The sequence below is a fragment of the Homo sapiens genome, chromosome 19, assembly GCF_000001405.40.
Source record: "Homo sapiens chromosome 19, GRCh38.p14 Primary Assembly".
Lineage (NCBI taxonomy): Eukaryota > Metazoa > Chordata > Mammalia > Primates > Hominidae > Homo > Homo sapiens.
Window position 1 is genome coordinate 20,351,150 of NC_000019.10, and position 19,379 is coordinate 20,370,528.

The 19,379-nt window shown below is 44.0% G+C and overlaps 1 pseudogene, besides 2 other annotated features; it reads left to right on the forward strand.

The window, feature by feature from the left end:
• Positions 359 to 928, forward strand: BNIP3P20 (BCL2 interacting protein 3 pseudogene 20; annotated as a pseudogene).
• Positions 9,527 to 10,082: an enhancer, noted in NCBI's record as "H3K27ac-H3K4me1 hESC enhancer chr19:20471485-20472040 (GRCh37/hg19 assembly coordinates)". NCBI's record gives its function as "activates a minimal SCP1, AML or CMV promoter by ChIP-STARR-seq in naive H9 embryonic stem cells {active_cell/tissue: H9 hESC(naive)}" and the evidence as "EXISTENCE:reporter gene assay evidence [ECO:0000049][PMID:30033119]".
• Positions 16,658 to 17,293: an enhancer, noted in NCBI's record as "OCT4-NANOG hESC enhancer chr19:20478616-20479251 (GRCh37/hg19 assembly coordinates)". NCBI's record gives its function as "activates a minimal SCP1, AML or CMV promoter by ChIP-STARR-seq in naive H9 embryonic stem cells {active_cell/tissue: H9 hESC(naive)}" and the evidence as "EXISTENCE:reporter gene assay evidence [ECO:0000049][PMID:30033119]".

Here is a 19,379-nt window from a genome sequence, read left to right on the forward strand (position 1 = left end):
ATTCACCTGGAGATTGAAGAGGTCATCTGTGTATGCTAATTGCTTATATTCAATGATAAATAATCTTTTCACATCTTCATAACAGGAGGTAGTTTAGCACCTTGAAGCCAGGTACCTGATGAAGCTAGGCTTTCACTCTGCTACAAAAATGGTTGAATAGGGTTCTATGTTTTTGGCTATTTATATTTTAGAGCAGTGGTTCTGTACTCCCTGGCACTGGGCTACAGCACTCCTGCTTGATTTCACCTGGTTGCTAGTGTCCTCTTGACTTCTACCATCTGTCACTGAGGAACAGCCCAGAGCACAGCTCACATTTTATGTGAAGTCTATTTGCCACAGCAGCACTCTAGTGTCACATCAGAGAGGGAAGCCTGAGCTGCAGGAGGAGAGCCTGCAGGCCTCCTGGGTAGAATGACACATTCACAATAATGGAAATGAGAGCAGTGTTTCAGCCCATTTCTACTTATAATGGTGACCAGGGAAAAATACTGCTGATTTTCCAGCATGAATCCAGATAGAGATAGCTCCAGAAGTTCTCACTGTGACAGCCCAGCTTATTCCAAAATCAAGGGTTATGAATAAGGCTTCTGAAACAGAGACCCAAAGCACTGGAGAGAAAAACAGATCTCCGTCGGAGCAAGATGGTTCTGAGAGAAAAAAGTTAAAATGATCTTAAGAAAAATCTCAGACTACATATAACATTGATTATGTCAGATAGAAAATATTCCCCTAAAAGAAATTTCTCTCTAAACACCTAAAGTGTACAGCTACTCTCAACATGAGAAACATGAGCATTATGAAGAAAGGGGGCAGATTTTCAGAAGAATTTTATAAAGTTTCTTTTCTATCTCTGCTGTTCTCTCATCTCCTAGCCATTGAATGGGGGTTCTACGTTGAAATATATTTGACAACTTCCAACAACACTTTCTGATGAAGAAATAGAATCTGACTGTGTTCATATAGTGGAATATGTTAGAACTTGCAACACAGCTAACTGAAGAGCTATTATGGTTTTTGCATGGCCACATCACCTAACCTTATTTGTCCTGCAATAGCAGCATACCAATTTAGTGAAATAAAATATACTAAAATAGTGTTTACTCAAAATTATCTCTATTGAATAAAGTAACAAACATGTCACACTAATATCTACTTACTGTAACAATTTGGTAGTAAAGTTCCTTTGGATATTAAATATAAATATCAAAGTATAAATAATTTTAATGAACTAGTGTTAATGTAGATAGCATTTAAAAAATTAAAACTTCAGTTAAAACATTTTATATTTCAAAAGTATAAATAACAATATTAAAATAACCATTTAAGTGATTCATTCAAAGTAAGTAGTGCAGCTTTGTATTGGTACTATTGTAGAAAATACTGTTTCTGGCTTATGCCTGTAATCCCAGCACTTAAGAGGCTGAGGAGGGTGGATCACCTGAGGTCAAGAGTTCAAGATCAAGGTGGTGAACATGGTAACACCCCATTTCTACTATAAATACAAAAACTTAGTCATGCAGGGTGAGGCATGCGTATAATTCCAGCTACTTGGGAGGCTGAGGCAGGAGAATCACTTCAACCTGGGAGGCAGTGGTTGCAGTGAGCTGAGATCACACCACTGCACTCCAGCCTGGGCAACAGAGTGAGACTCTGTCTCAAAATAAAAGAGAAAATACAGTTTAATGTACATGAATGCAGATTGTCCACAAACATTACACATAATTATGCTAATTGTTATGAAGTAATAAATAGAAAGCAAGATACAACTACAGACTCCACTGTTTAGTTTATACCCTGAACTGTTTTTGCTTTTGCAGTATAAGCACTTCAGCCTGCAAATATTGGATAATTACCTTGGATTTTCAGGTTTCTGTCAAAGAAATATAGTATCTTTTAGTCTTTATCATTCTGTATTGCTAAATTTAATCTTATCTTTGTGCTAAGCTTCTGTGTGCTCTTTTTTTTAATTATTATTATACTTTAAGTTTTAGGATACATGTGCACAATGTGCAGGTTAGTTACATGTGTATACACGTGCCATGCTGGTGTGCTGCACCCATTAACTCGTCATTTAGCATTTGGTATATCTCCTAATGCTATCCCTCCCCCCTCCCCCCTCTGTGTGCTCTTAAAATGAGCTCTTATCTAAACAAATCTGTCTACTTTAAAGGACTAAAAATGAAAAAAATAAACTTTTCAGAACCGAAAACAAAGCAATAAATCTGAATTATCAGATAATCTGAAGACAGAAAAAATGACAAAAGTCTTATTTAGTTGTTAATATGATTTACATATATTTCCAAAAGCAGAGAAAAATATCTATATATAATCTAGATCCCTCAACAAAAGAGGGAATAGCAAAACTTTTTTTGGAACTTTTTTTTTTTTGTTTGTTTGTTTCGAGACGGAGTCTCGCTCTGTCGCCCAGGCTGGAGTGCAGTGGCGCGATCTCAGCTCACTGCCGGCTCCGCCTCCCGGGTTCACGCCATTCTCCTGCCTCAGCCTCCCGAGTAGCTGGGACTACAGGCGGCCGCCACCATGCCTGGCTAATTTTTTTGTACTTTTAGTAGAGACGGGGTTTCATCGTGTTAGCCAGGATGGTCTCGACCTCCTGACCTCGTGATCCACCCTCCTCGGCCTCCCAAAGTGCTGGGATTACAGGCTTGAGCCACCGCGCCCGGCCTTTTTTCAGAACTTTTTAATGAGTTTTTGAACCCTTGGACATCTGAAATTTGCACACTGTATGCACTTGAAAGAAGGTTTATGGGGAAGCTGGGTGGGGTGGCTCATGCCTGTAATCCCAACACTTTGGGAGACCAAGGCAGTCAGATCACGAGGTTTGGTGGTCGAGACCATCCTGGCTAACACGGTGAAACCGCATCTCTACTAAAAATACAAAAAATTAGCCAGGCGTGGTGGTGGGCACCTGTAGTCCCAGATACTCGGGAGGCTGAGGAAGGAGAATGGCCTGAACCCGGGAGGCAGGGCTTGCAGTGAGCCGAGATCGCGCCACTGCACTCCAGCCTGGTCAACCGAGCGAGACACTGTCTCGAAAAATAAAAAATAAAAAATAAATTAAAAAAAGAAGGTTTATGGGGAAAAAAAACCCAGAAGATAAAAAGATATTACATAAAATCCATAAATACTCAAGACCAATTAAACAGAATAGAGAGCCCAGAAATAATGCCACCTTCCTACAACCATCAGATTTTTTACAAAGTTGACAAGAAGAATGTGGGAAGATTTTTCTCTGTAATAAATGGTGCTGGAATAATAGCTAACACTATGTAGAAGACAGAAACTTGACCCCTTCGTTGCACCACATACAAAAATCAACTCAAGATAAAATAAAGACTTAAATGAAAAACTTAAAATTATAAAGAAACCCTGCAAGATAACCTAGGAAATACCATTCTTGACACAGAAACAGGTAAAGACTTCATGATGAAACTACAAAAACCAACTGCAACAAAAGCAAAAATTGACAAATGGGACCTATTTGAACTTAAGAGCTTCTTCACAGGAAAGGAAACTATGAATAGAGCAAACAGACAACCTACAGAGTAAGAGAAAATAGTTGCAAATTTTGCCTCTTACAAAGGCCTAATATACACAATTTATTAAGAACTGAAATGAGTTTAGAAGAAAAAACCAAGAAACCTCATTAAAAAGTAGGCAAAAAATATGAACGGATGCTTTTCAAAAGACATACATGTGGCTAACAAACATTATGAAAAAAAGGTCACTGCTAATCATTAGAGAAATTAAAAGAAAAACACAATGAGAAACCACCTCACTCACACACGTCAGAATGGCTATTTTTAAAAAGTCAAAAAATAACAGATGCTGGCAAAGTTGCAGAGAAAAAGGAATGCTTATACTCTCCTGGTGGGGGTGTAAATTAGTTCAACAACTTAAAAAGCAGTGTGGCGATTCCTCACAGAACTAAAAACAGAATTATCATCTGATCCAGGAGCCTCAAAACTGGGTATATACCCAAAGAAATATAAATGTTTATATTATAAAGACACATCCACATGCATGTTCACTGCAGCACTATTCACAATAGCAAAGACACGGACAGGCCCTGAATGCTTATCAGTGGTAGACTGGATAAAGAAAATATAATATGGTCAGATGCGGTGGCTCATGCCTGTAATCCCAGCACTTTGGGAGGCCACAGCAGGTGGATTGCCTGAGCTTAGAAGTTCGAGACCAACCTGGGCAACATGGCAAAATCCTGTCTCCACGGAAAATACAAAAAGAAAAATTGGCAAGGCATGGTAACACACACGTTTAGTCCCAAGGTTGAGGCTAAAGTAAGCCAATATCATGCCATGGCACTCTGGCCTGGGCAATAAATGAAACCCTGTCTCCAAAAATAAAATAAAATAAAAGATTTAGTAAAAACAAAATATGGTACATAAATATCATGGAATACTCTGTAGCCATTAAAAAATAATTATCATGTCCTTTGCAAGAACATAGATGAAGCTGGAGACCATTATTCTTACAAAACTAATGCAAAGTCTGGGCGCGGTGGCTCACACCGGTAATCCCAGCACTTTGGGAGGCGGAGGCGGGCTAATCACCGGAGGTTGGGAGATTAAGACCAGACTGATCAACGTGGAGAAACCCCGTCTTTACTAAAAATACAAAATTAGCCAAGCGTGGTGGTGCGTGCCTGTAATCTCAGCTACTTGGAAGGTTGAGGCAGGAGAATCCCTTGATCCCCGGAGGTGAAAGTTGCGGTGCGCTGAGATGGCACCACTGCACTCCAGCCTGAGAAACAAGAGCAAAACTCTGTCTCAAAAAAACCAAACAACTGGGCCGGGTGCGGTGGCTCATGCCTGTAATTCCAGCAGCTTGGGGGGCCCTGAGGAGGGTGGATCACGAGGTCAGGAGATCGAGACCATCCTGGCTAACACGGTGAAACCCCGTCTCTACTAAAAGCACAAAAAATTAGCCGGGCGTGGTGGCGGGCGCCTGTAGTCCCAGCTACTCCGGAGGCTGAGGGAGGAGAATGGCGTGAACCTGGGAGGCGGAGCTTTCAGTGAGCAGAGATCGCGCCACTGCACTCCAGCCTGGGTGACAGAGCGAGACTCGGTTTCAAAAAAAAAGGACAAAACAGCACAACAACAACAAAAACAGAAAACTAATGCAGAAACAGAAAACCAAATGCATGCTATTATTTTTAAGTAAGAGCTAAGTAATAAGAACACATGAACACAAAAAGGAGAACAATGGACACTGAGGCCTAGTTGAGGGTGGAGGGTGGGAGGACTCAGAGGATCAGAAAACATACCTGTTTGGTGCTATGGGTAGTACCTCAGTGACAAAATAATCTGCACACCAAACCCTCATGACATAATTTTAGCTATATAACAAACCTACATGTGTACACCAAACCAGAAATAAAAGCTAAAAGAAAAAAAAAAATCCCTGCGTGGGAGAGTACAATGCAGGTGTATGAACTGATTTTGGCTACAGATAGTGGCCCAGGTGGAAATGTACTCTGATTGATTTCGGTGTGCATGCAGGCAGATGAGATTAAACAGGTGGCTCAGAACCTTAGGGTGGTGGAGAAAACAGGTTGCTGCTGCAGATTCAGTGTCTGGGGGTGGGGATATGCCAGGAGACTTGTAGAGACTTGTGGGTTCTTGGCAAGAAACACCTGGATCAAAAATGCCATGGTGGCCAGGTGCCATGGCTCACCCCTGTAATCCCAGCACTTTGGGAGGCCGAGACAGATGGATCACCTGAGGTCAGGAGTTTGAGGACAGGAATTCAAGACCAGCATGGTGGAAGGCGCCTGTAAACCCAGTTACTCGGGAGGCTGAGGCAGGAGGATCACTTGAACTCAGGAGGCAGAGGTTGCAGTGAGCCAAGATCGTGCCACTGCACACCAGCCTGGGCAACAAGAGTGAAACTCTGTCTCAAAAAAATAAATAAATAAATAAAAATACAAAAAATTAGCCAGGTGTGGTGGTACACACCTGTAGTCCCAGCTACTCCGGAGGCTGGGGCAGGAGAATCACTTGAACCTAGTAGGCAGAGATTGTGTAATGGCCTAAGGCGTTCACCTTGCCCTTTGCCTAGACAGAGCCCATTCATCAATACAGGAGAATTTGTGGAGAAAATATTAAACGTTAAATTTCAACTCAATTGAACATGGACACAAACAATGGTTACCAAGTCCTGGGACAGGTTATGTGAGCCCCTTGAGGCATTCATCCAGCACTATTTTTGAGAAATCTCTGTTTGAAATGCTTGTTCCTTGGTGCCATAAAGAAATAGCACTTGAACATAAATTTAATTTACTCAGTAAGGCCATTTTTACTTTCTGCAGAAAGGGTACACTTACCAGCAGTTTTGCCATGAGTGTACACCGAACAAAGGAGACAGGGTCACTTATAACCAGATGCATCAACTCTACTCCTGTGTTGTTTTCACTGGCTGGGACTGGACCTCACATTCTGTATTTGTCTCGATTGGCTAGCAATGTAGAACTTTTTAAAAGAGGCAAACGCAGAGGAGAACAGAGGAAGGAGGAAGTAACTTGTAGAATGCTGAGAAAGGTAAAAACACCTTCAAATAAGGAAGAGGAACAGGCTATGACCTAATGCTTGCTTGGACCAGTATAAACATGCCAGAGCAAATATTTAGGCTAAACAGTGGGAGCTAAGAACATAAAGTACATTGATTTCTTTATTATGGCTAGCAGATATTTAAGAATATTAGCACAGGTCTTTCAATACATTTTACTTCTAAGAGAAGTTACTATTTACTCCTAATTAGATGGGGAGGAAAGTCTTTGAAGAGAAACCTCTACTTTACTTTTACATCTCTATTTTAATCTATTCCTCTACGTTAGTTATTGAAAAACAATAGACAATTGCAAAAAAACAAGTTCACCTATTTGTGTTCCTGGAGCCCATTCACAAAGGGCCCTCGTGACTGGGCCTCATGCCAAACAAGTTGTTACAAAAAGAGCTAGGGCCGCAGACTGCCCTAGCTTCAGGAGACCTCTCCTCATCTGTGCACGGTTGAGTGTCCGACTCTGGAGCCCAGGCTATCACTTCCCGGTGTGGTGGTGAATCCTCCATAGTCTGATGAGTGTTTTTGTCTGACTCTGGAGCCCATACTGTTGCTTCCTGGTCTGGTGAGGAATCCTCCATAGTCTGGTGAGTGTAAACATACACACACACACACACACACACATATATACACACACATATATGTACATATACGTATATACATATATGTATATACGTATATGTATATATACATATATACGTATGTGCATATATACATATATACGTATATACGTATGTGCATATATACATATATAGGTATATATACATATATGTACATATACATATATACATATACATATATACATATATACATATATACATAATACATATATACATATATACATATATACATAATACATATATACATATATACATATACGTGTGTGTGGTCATGTGTGTGTATATATGTGTGTGTGTGTGTATATATATCACTTTTCCCTTCTCCCCTTTCCATTGCAATTTTCTTATTATATCAATTTGCTTATTATATCTGCATTGCCATTTACATAAGATAAAGCTTCTTTACCCTTAAAGGTATTGTGTGTGTGTCTTTCTTTCTCCCCTCATGAGTTTCCTGAACAGAACACCATATTTTTCAGAGGCTTTATTTGTTTCTTATTATTCTTTTTTCCTTAATCTTGCCTGCATGCCTAATTTTGACAAGGTGCTATTCAAACTCTGATATCCTTTCTTCTGCTTGGTGAATTCGGCTTCAAATACTTTTGTATCCTTCATGAAGCATAAAACAAAAACTAACTGGGCCTTTGGCCAGGCATGATGGCTCAAGCCTGTAATCCCAGCACTTTGGGAGGTCATGGTGGGTGGATCACGAGGTCAGGAGTTTAAGACCAGCCTGGCCAAGATAGTGAAACCCCATCTCTACTAAAAATAGAAAAGTTAGCCAGGCATGGTGGTGGAGGCCTGCGTCAGGCCTCTGAGCCCAAGCTAAGTCATTGTATCCCCTGTGATTTGCACGTATACATCCAGATGGCCTGAAGCAAGTGAAGAATCACAAAAGAGAAAATGGCCGGTTCCTGCCTTAACTGGTGACATTATCTTGTGAAATTCCTTCTCTTCGTTCAGAGGCTTCCCAACTGAGCACCTTGTTACCCCCGCCCCTGCCCACAAGAGAAAAACCCCCTTTGACTGTAATTTTCCACTACCCACCCAAATCCTATAAAATGGCCCCACCCCTATCTCCTTTTGCTGACTCCATTTTCAGACGCAGCCCACCTGAACCCAGGTGATTAAAAAGCTTTATTGCTCACACAAAGCCTGTTTGGTGGTCTCTTCACATGGACGCATGTGAAAGCCTGTAATCTCAGATACTCAGGAGGCTGAGGCAGAGAATTGCTTGAACCTGGGAGGCGGAGGTTGCAGTGAGCCGAGATCGTACCACTGCACTCCAGACTGGGCAAAAGAATGAGACTCTGTCTCAAAAAAACAAAACAAAACAAAAACAGAATACAGAAGATCTTTCTTCCATTTTGACTGTAGAAAATGAATGTATTTCCACTGGAAAATGTGGTAGATAATTGATGAGTAACATAGATTCGTCAAACTATCCGTTTCTCTTTTTGCAGGGTAAATTTGTGACAGTGACTATCTCGGTTCTGTATCTTGTCTTGATTTCTTAGTTTAATGCTAAATTATATGTGGTGAAACGTGGTACTGTTAGATATGAGTTCTAAATGTCTTTTCAAAGAGTCAATATGTCAGTATGTTCAATTCTTTGCCTTCTACTTATAAACTTAACTTCCTCGTAAAGCAAACTTTTTCAATTACCTGCTCCACCTGACTCATTTCAATCACCTGCTCCAACCTGACTCATTCCCATTACCTGCTACCTGCTCTGCCCTGACTCATTTTTTCCCCACATAACCATTTTTTTTCCCGCCAAACCACTCACCCAATCACTGTCTTTAAATTAGCTAAGTGGAATTAGTTTAGCCTATGCAGTCTAACCCTAGCCAATAGGGGAACGACACAGCAACAGGGGCCATGCGCGTCAGGGATAAGAACCCCTTTCCCTCCCTTGTCCAGGTGTGCACTCACCATTGCTCCATTTGTAAAGGCACACCCTTCTATAGAATTACCTTGCCTTGCTGAGAATTAAAAAGAAAATTTTATATTCGAGTGCTATTTCTTTTGCGGCACAGAAATTTTATTTATAACAATTTGGGGGTTCGCTTGTGATTACATTCCCCTCCAGGGGTGGTCTCTGGTTCTCTCTCATGAGGAGGTTTGCCCTGCCCCCTTGTGGTGGCCTCAGGGGTGAGAAATCCAGACCCACTCAGTGGGAAAAATAACCGGAGCTCTCAGCAACGAGGGGAAAAAAAAACTGGCCAGTAACCTAGCTTAAAGGATCCTCATATACTGTGGCAACAACTCTGTGCACAGACCCAGGAAGGAGAAGCTGCGGGAGCCAGAAAAGTACTTCATTGGTGGTCAAATTCTGGAGAGCTAAATGTGTTTGTGCGTGATTGATCACAAACAACCCTGCTTGCGATGTTGTTCGTGTGGATGGTGACAAGTCCTACTGCTGAATGGAGTGAGTGGGTCCTCTCTGTGGTTCCGTAGCTACCTCATATGACTTAGGGTGGATCCTGCCATGAGATTTATTCTGACATGCCAACACTAAGAGGGGCCTAATTCTCCCTTGGGGGAGCAGCCAGAGAGAACAACACGAATGGGAAGTGCGCAAGGAAAGAGGGGGAAAGGGAGGAAACAGGTTAACTTTCTGGGACAGGCAAGGAGAGACATTTCTGGTGTCAGGGGTTGAGACTTCCGGGACAGGCAAGGTGAGACAGCCCTGGTTTGAGGGGTTGAGGCTTCTGCTAATTTCAAGGGTTGAACCTCACACAACCCCCCTTTCCTTTTATCTTGGGGGAAGAAAGAGTAGCTCCACTCCCGCTGGTCCCTCCCCTAGGGGAAGGAGAAGGAGAGGACAGAACAGCAGCATAAGCATCTGGGAGAGGCACGGAAAGACCAGAAGAGAGATGAGACAGAGAGAAAGACAGAGGGGAAAGAGAGAGAAAGAGAGGCAGAGAGAGAGAGAGGAAGAGACAGAGACAAAGAGGGAGTCAGAGAGAGAGACAGAAAGTCAAAGAGAGAAAGAAAGAAGTAGTAAAGAAAAAACAGTGTACCCTATTTCTTTAAAAGCCAGGGTAAATTTAAAGCCTATAATTGATAATTGAAGGTCTTCTCCGTGACTCTATAACACTCTAATACCACCTTGTTGTCAGTGTAAACAAGGGCGCAGCCCGAAAGCACTGAGGTCACTGACAACCTGTAGCCTTCCTATCAAAAATCCTTAACCCAGAAACCTGTGGATGAAGGTAATTCATTCAATCTGTAGTGACAACTGCTTTGCCCGTAATGCCCAACCTTGTTTTTACTAACCCTGTTTTTAGACTCCCCCTTTTTCTCCCTTAATCACCTAGCCTTGTTTCCACATGAATAAAACCCTCCCTGGGCCAGGTGCGGTGGCTCACGCCTGCAATCCCAGCACTTTGGGAGGCCTAGGTGGGCGGATCACGAGGTCAGGAGATCGAGACCATCCTGGCTAACATGGTGAAACCCCGTCTCTACTAAAAATACAAAAAATTAGCCAGGCGTGGTGGTGGGCACTTGTAGTCCCAGCTACTGGGGAGGCTGAGGCAGGAGAATGGCATGAACCCGGGAGGTGGAGCTTGCAGTGAGCCGAGATCACACCACTGCACTCCAGCCTGGGCAACAGAGCCAGACTCCGTCTCAAACAAACAAACAAACAAACCAAAAACTCTCCCTTAGCTGAGAAAGCTAGACAAACTCCATCTGGCCCCCTTGATTTATAAGACGTTAAGGACTCCTTACCCACCCCCTTCTTCAAGGAGTTAACTTGTGTAAACAGATTCTCAACATATCAAAAGAGTCCAATTAACTGATAAGGTACTGAAACAAACAATGTATGAAGTTCCCAGGATCTTGCTCAAAAGATAACACCACAAAGCCTTGAGTCTGTGTCCGGCATAGCACCCATATCTAACATCTTATGAAGGATTTAGAGCCCCCGCACCTGCTACCGTTGCTTTTCTGTAAACATTTGTCTTTTAAATTGTCTGTTTCTCTGTAATCATTTGTCCTTTTAATTTTTGCATGTTTTTACTTCTGTAGAATTGTTGCATTTGAGCTCCCCTCCCCTTCCTAAACCAAAGTATAAAAGAAAATCAAGCCCCCTCCTCATGGCCGAGAGAATTTTGAGTGTTAGTCATCTCTTTGGCCACAGGCTAAATAAAGGACTCTTAATTCATCTCAAAGTGTGGCGTTTTTCTAACTCGCTCGGGTATAACATTTGGAGGCCCCAGCGAGATATATTCCCCACCGGGTGAGAGCCGGGCTTTCTCCAGGCTCCCCCAGACAGATGGCTGGCTTATTGGGGGGTGCCACCTGAAAAATTTTTCCAGGTCCGTTAAAAGTGACCATCTTCCGGAGGAGAGCAGATTGACTACCGTGTGTTTGCCCACAAAATTCCACCTCTGAGTCCTCAACTTCTGACCCTGGGGTCAGGTAAGTCAGGCTTGACTTTGCCCTGGACTCAGTCCATATCCCAGGTGCTGGGGGACTGAGTCCTGGTTTCTGGCAGGCCAGTCTCTCTCTCTCTCTCTCTGTCTTTCTCTCTCTGTCTCATTAAAGACTAGTCTCACTCTCTGCTCTCTTTCTCACTCTCACTCTCCCTCTCCCTTTTTCTATTTCTCATCCTTCTCTTGTTCAGGTTTCTTGGAGATCTCCGGGAAAAAAAAAACAAACAAAACTGTTATAAACTCTGTGTGAATGGTGAGTGATTGGGTGATTGTGGAAGACAAGGGCTTGTGCTTGTCTTCCAGTTTGTAGCTCCATGGCGAAAGCTACACAGCTTGAGTGGGCCCTCACCTGTGGTTCCATGGTGACCTCGTAAGGCTTAAGAGGCATAGCTTGATCTGAGCCGGGGGTTTATACCAGCCTGCCAGTACTAAGAGGAGCCCAAGTCCCCCAAGGGGGAGTGGCCAGGTGGGCATCTGAATGATCCCATCATGGGACCCCCTCCCCTTGTCTGTCTAATAAAAACTGTCATAATTGTTTACATGCCCTAGGGCCAATTTTTTGTTTTATATTTATTGCTCTGCTCAGTGTCTATTGTCTTGTTCAGTGGTTGTCAAAGTTTTGTATGTCATGTCATTGATATTGCCCAAGACATCTGGGTAAGAACTTCTTCAAGGTCCTTAGTGTTGATTTTTTATCACAGGAGGTTAAATTTCTCATCAATCATTTAGGCTGGCCACAACAGTCCTGCCTTTTCTGTCAGAAACAAGTGAGGTGTTGTTACGGAAACGAGTGTGGAGAACATTCGCCTGATTGGGATTTCTGGCAGCGTGAAGGTTGCTGGTATTTAGATTGTCATACCCTACATCCAAGAGCTGGGCTGCCTCTAGGTTAAACTGGTGGTGGGTTGAAAATAGCCACCCTGCAGATTTCCTTGCTTACCTCTTTTGTCATACTGTAACTTTTCCCATGCCCTTAAATAGGACACTGTGTAGGGAAACCTACACCTGTACTGCTTTACTTCATTTAGATCCTTACTCTGTTCCTCTGTGGCTACTCTCCCACCTTAAAAATGATCCGAGTGGCCTCATCCCTGCCCCTTACCCTGTACATCTCATTTTCCAGTGCCACAGCAAGTTCAGCATCTCCAGGACTTGGCTCTGCTCTCACTCCTTAAACCCTTACAGAAAAAGGCTGAGTTTGAGCTATTTGCCTTTGAGTCATGGAGACACCAAAAGTATTTAGGGTACAGGTCCAGAGGAAGAGGGAGAACGCCTAGATCCAACTGACCCAGGAGACCTCAGGGCAGCCTCTAGTCCCCCTCCCTCAATCTTAAAGCTACTGTAATGTGGCAAGTGGTATTAGCTGTTGTGGTTTTTCTGCTCTTTCTGGTTATGTTGATTCTGTTCTTTCAGTACTCCAGCCCCCTAGGGAGTGAGTTTCTCTGTACATGCTGGGTTTAATATCTATTCTCAAATCTTAATAAATTGCCTTCAAAAAAAAAAAAAAAAAAAGAGGGAAACTCCTTCTCTGGCCTTGTAAGTGTTGGAGCCCTCTCCAATGTATGCCACAGAATTTTTCTCTCGGTTTCTCAGAGGATTATGGAGTCTGCCTTAAAAAAGGCAAGCTCCGGACACTCTGTGAAGTAGAATGGCCAAAGTTTGGAGTCGGGTGGCCCCGTGTAGGGTCACTGAAACTCACAATTGTCCAGGCTGTGTGGCAGGTTGTTACTGAAACTCCCAGCCACCCCGATCAGTTTCCCTACATTGATCAATGGCTGAGTTTGGTCAGGAGCCCCCCTCCATGGGTGCGCTCATGCACCATTCATAATTCTACCTCCAAGGTCATTCTGAGCCAGACCGCATTTTCACCTCGACCCTCAGCCAGTCTGACTTCCCTGTACTGCCTCCCTCTGAAGAAGAGGAGAGTCTCCCTCACCCAGTCCCGCTGCCTTACAACCAGCCTGCTCCCATAGAATCATCCTTTGTCTCCTCAACTACTTCCCCTGTAGGCTCACCGCCTATTGCTTCTTGACTGTGACCACGGTAGGAGGAAGTAGCCCCTCTACTACCACTGAGAGAGGCACAAGTCCCTCTGGGTGATGAGCGCTCATCTCCCTTCTTGGTTTATGTCCCTTTTTCTACTTCTGACTTGTTTAATTGGAAAACCCATAATCCTCCCTTCTCTGAAAAGCCCCAGGTTTTGACCTCTCTGATGGAGTCCGTACTCCGGACTCACCGGCCCATCTGGGATGATTGTCAAAAGCTCCTTTTAACCCTTTTCACCTCTGAAGTGAGGGAAGGTATCTGAAGAGAGGCCAAAAAGTACTTCCTCACATCAGCCAATAGGCCAGAGGAGGAAGCTAGAGACCTCCTTGAGGAGGTCTTTCCCTCTACCCGGCCTAATTGGGACCCAAATTCCTCAAGTGGAAGGAGAGCTTTGGATGATTTCCAGTGGTATATCCTCGTGATTATTAAGGGAGCTGTTCAGAAACCCATAAACTTGTCTAAGATGACTGAAGTTGTCCAGGGGCCTGATGAGTCACCAGGAGCATTTTTAGAACGCCTCCAGGAGGCTTATCAGATTTACACCCCTTTTGCCCCGGCGGCTCCTGAAAATAGCCGTGCTCTTAATTTGGCATTTGTGGCTCAGGCAGCCCCAGATGTTAAAAGAAAACTGCAAAAACTGGAGGGATTTGCTGGAATGCATATCAGTCAGCTTTTAGAAATAGCCCAAAAGGTTTTTGACAACTGAGAGTTTGAAAAACAAAAACAAGCAACATAGGCATCTGAAAAAGGTGCTGATAAAGTATTCAAAAGACAAGCAAAAATCTTAGTGATGGCTATCCAAGAGGGGAAAAAGAAAAGGCCCCCATCACAGAGAAATGGCCAGGGAACCTTGGGTTCCCACCATAAAGGTAAAGGAGTTGAACAGGCTCCTCTAGGAAAGGACCAATGTGCTTATTGCAAGCAGACTGGCAGTGGAAAAAGGAATGCCCACTACGACCAGAAGAAAAATCAGAAAAGAAAAAGTCCTCACCCTACCTGTAATGGAAGAGCCTGATGACTGAAGGGGCCAGGGCTCCCTCACTGTTGGCTCCCAGGAACCCATGGTAACTGCTACAGTGGGGGGCCAGCCTGTACGCTTCCTAGTAGATACCAGGGTGGAGCACTCGGTACTGTAGACCCCCTTGGGCAGTGTCTCAAATAAAAGTGACTGTACAAGTCACTGGAGCAACTGGAGCTATTCAAGAAGATCCTGTCACACACTCATGAGAAGTGAGCTTGGGACAGAAAAGAGTGACGCAGTCATTTCTTGTGGTTCCAGAGTGTCCTTTTCCTCTCCTTGGATGAGACCTGCTCCATAAGTTACAGGCCTCAATCTCTTTCTCAGCTCAATAGGCTCACCTCACACTAGGAAATACAGCTCCCTCCACTGCCCAATTTCTGCTAAGTACCCCTCTGTCGGAGGAATAGCTTTTAGTTTCACCATCACAATCACCGGAGGAGAATAATAATCCTCTTCTTTTGGACTTACAGACACTTTTTCCCTGAGTTTGGGCCGAGCCAAACCCTCCAGGACTGGCTAAACACCATTCACCAGTGGTTGTAGAACTCCTGGCCACTGTCATGCCAGTCCAGGTGAAATAATACCCCATGAGTCAGGGGGCAAGACAGGGGATTAATCCCCATATTTAATGACTGTTACAAGCTGGCATACTTACACCATGTCAGTCTGCTTGGAATGCTCCATTATTGCCAGTCCAGAAACCTGGAACAAATGATTACTGGCTGGTACAGGACTTAAGGGAAGTTAACAAATGGACTGTTACTGTCCATCCAACCGTCCCTAATCCTTATACTCTACTTAGCCTGCTCTCACCAGAACATACAGTATACACTGTCCTTGACCTAAAGGATGCTTTTTTTGCTATTCCTCTGGACCCCAAAAGCCAGCCGATCTTTGCATTTGAATGGGCAGATCCTAGCTCAGGGAACACTACCCAACTGACTTTGACTCAGTTACCTCAGGGTTTTAAAAACTCCCCCACCCTTTTTGGGGAGGCTCTCCAGCAAGATCTTGTACCATTCCGAGCTAGTCACCCTAACTGTACTCTTCTTCAGTACGTTGATGATCTTTTATTAGCTACTGGAACTATGGACAGTTGCCTGCAACATATGAGAGACCTACTTTACCTCCTTCAGGAGCTCAGGTATCAAGTCTCCACCAAAAAGGCCCAGCTCTGTCTTCCCAGAGTGTCTTACTTGGGATACGAGATAAACCAAGGAAAAAGGGCACTCACCAGTGCCCAGAAAGAAGCCATCCTATGAATCCCCGCTCCCACCACCAAGAGACAGGTACATGAATTCCTGGGGGCCATGGGATACTGCTGCCTCTGGATATTGGGGTCCACAGAGATTGCCAAGCCCCTGTACACTGCTACAGGAAGAAACGGCCCACTGGTTTGGACAGACACCGAAGAACAGGCTTTTCAAAACCTGAAAAAGGCATTAACTGAAGCCCCTGCTTTAGCCCTCCCAAATATCTCAAAGCATTTTCACCTGTTTGTCCATGAAAGCCAGGGAGTTTCTAAAGGGGTGCTTACTCAGACTTTAGGACCCTGGAGATGCCCAGTGGCCTATTTATCTAAGAGGCTGGATCCTGTGGCCTCTGGATGGCCAAGTTGTCTGCAAGCCATAGTGGCTAGAGCAATACTAGTCCAAGAGGCTGATAAGTTAACTCTGGGCCAAAATTTAACCCTTATGGCTCCTCATCCCATAGAGACTTTACTATGAAGTGCTCCTGGCAAATGGATGTCAAATGCTCACATCTTGCAGTATCAGAGTTTACTGTTAGATCAGCCTTGTTTGACTTTCTCCCCCACAAGGTGTTTAAATCCAGCTACACTACTCCCTGATCCAGACTCCACTACTCCTGTTCATGACTGTCAGGATCTGTTGGAAACTACCAAAACTGGCCAACCTGATCTTCAAGATGTGCCCCTAGAAAAGGCAGATGCCACTGTGTTCACAGATGGTAGCAGCTTCCTCGAGCAGGGAGAACGAAAAGCTGGTGCAGCTGTTACCATGGAGACAGACATGTTGTGGGCTTAGGCTTTACCAGCGAACACCTCAGCACAAAAAGCTGAATTGATTGCCCTCACTCAGGCTCTCCAATGGGGTAAGAATAAACGTATTAACATTTACACTGACAGCAGGTATGCCTTTGCTACTGTACATGTACATGGAGCCATCTACCAGGAGTGCAGGCTACTCACCTCAGCAGGAAAGACTCAAAAACAAAGAAGAAATTCTAGCCCTGCTTGAAGCCGTATGGCTCCCTCAGCAGGTGGCTGTAATCCACTGCAAAGGACATCAAAAAGAAAACACGGCCATTGCCCGTGGTAACCAGAGAGCTGATTCAGCAGCTCAGGACACAGCATGACTTTCAGGCACACCTCTAAACTTGCTACCCGCAGTTTCTTTTCCACAGCCAGATCTGCCTGACAATCCCACATACTCAACAGAAGAAGAAAAACTGGCTTCAGATGTTGGAGCAAATAAAAATCAGGAAGGTTGGTGGATTCTTCCTGACTCTAGAGTCTTCATATCCAGAACTCTTAGGAAAAGTTTAATCAGCCACCTACATTCTACCACCCATTTAGGAGGAGCAAAACTAGCCCAGCTCCTCTGGAGCCTTTTTAAGATCCCCCATCTTCAAAGCCTAACAGATCAAACAGCTTTCCAGAGCACAACCTGCACCCAGGTAAATGCCAAGCAAGGTCCTAAACCCAGCCCAGGCCACCATCTCTGAGGAAACTCACCAGGAGGAAAATGGGAAATTGACTTTACAGAAGTAAAACCACACCGGGCCGGGTACAAATACTTTCTAGTACTAATAGACACCGTCTCTGGATGGACTGAGGCATTTGCTACAAAAAAAGAAACTGCCTGCATGGTAGTTAAGTTTTTACTCAATGAAATCATCCCTCGATATGGGCTGCCTGCTGCAATAGGGTCTGATAATGGACCGGCTTTCACCTCATCCATAGCTCAGTCAGTCAGCAAGGCATTAAATATTCAATGGAAGCTCCATTGTGCCTATCGACCCCAGAGCTCTGGGCAGATAGAACACATGAACTGAACCCTAAATACACTCTTACAAAATTAATCTTAGAAACCTGTGAAAATTGGGTAAGTCTCCTTCCTTTAGCTCTACTTAGAGTAAGGTGCACCCCTTACCAGGCTGGGTTCTCACCTTTTGAAATCATGTATGGGAGAGTGCCGCCTATCTTGCCTAAGCTAAAGGATGCCCATTTGGCAGAAATATCACAAGCTAATTTATTGCAGTACTTACAATCTCTCCAACAGGTACAAGATATCATCTTGCCACTTGTTTGAGGAGCTCATTCCAATCCAGTTCCTGACCAGACGGGGCCCTGCCATTCGTTCCAGCCAGGAGACCTAGTGTTTGTTAAAAAGTTCCAGAAAGAAGGACTCACTCCTGCTTGGAAGGGACCTCACACCATCATCCTCACGACGCCAACGGTTCTGAAGGTGGATGGAATTCCTGCTTGGATTCATCACTCCCACAACAAAAAGGCCAACAGAGCCCAACTAGAAACATGGGTCCCGAAGCCTGGGTCAGGCCCCTTAAAACTGCGCCTAAGCCGGGTGAAGCCATTAGATTAATTCTTTTTATTTACCTCTCTTGTTTCTTTTTGCCTGTTATGTCCTCTGAGCCTTCCTACTCCTTTCTCCTCACCTCTTTCACAACAGGACGTGTATTCGCAAACACTACTTGGAGGGCCGGTACCTCCAAGGAAGTCTCCTTTGCAGTTGATTTATGTGTACTGTTCCCAGAGCCAGCTCGTACCCATGAAGAGCAACATAATTTGCCGGTCATAGGAGCAGGAAGTGTCGACCTTGCAGCAGGATTTGGACACTCTGGGAGCCAAACTGGATGTGGAAGCTCCAAAGGTGCAGAAAAAGGGCTCCAAAATGTTGACTTTTACCTCTGTCCTGGAAATCACCCTGACGCTAGCTGTAGAGATACTTACCAGTTTTTCTGCCCTGATTGGACATGTGTAACTTTAGCCACCTACTCTGGGGGATCAACTAGATCTTCAACTCTTTCCATAAGTCGTGTTCCTCATCCTAAATTATGTACTAGAAAAAATTGTAATCCTCTTACTATAACTGTCCATGACCCTAATGCAGCTCAATGGTATTATGGCATGTCATGGGGATTAAGACTTTATATCCCAGGATTTGATGTTGGGACTATGTTCACCATCCAAAAGAAAATCTTGGTCTCATGGAGCTCCCCCAAGCCAATCGGGCCTTTAACTGATCTAGGTGACCCTATATTCCAGAAACACCCTGACAAAGTTGATTTAACTGTTCCTCTGCCATTCTTAGTTCCTAGACCCCAGCTACAACAACAACATCTTCAACCCAGCCTAATGTCTATACTAGGTGGAGTACACCATCTCCTTAACCTCACCCAGCCTAAACTAGCCCAAGATTGTTGGCTATGTTTAAAAGCAAAACCCCCTTATTATGTAGGATTAGGAGTAGAAGCCACACTTAAACGTGGCCCTCTATCTTGTCATACACGACCCCGTGCTCTCACAATAGGAGATGTGTCTGGAAATGCTTCCTGTCTGATTAGTACCGGGTATAACTTATCTGCTTCTCCTTTTCAGGCTACTTGTAATCA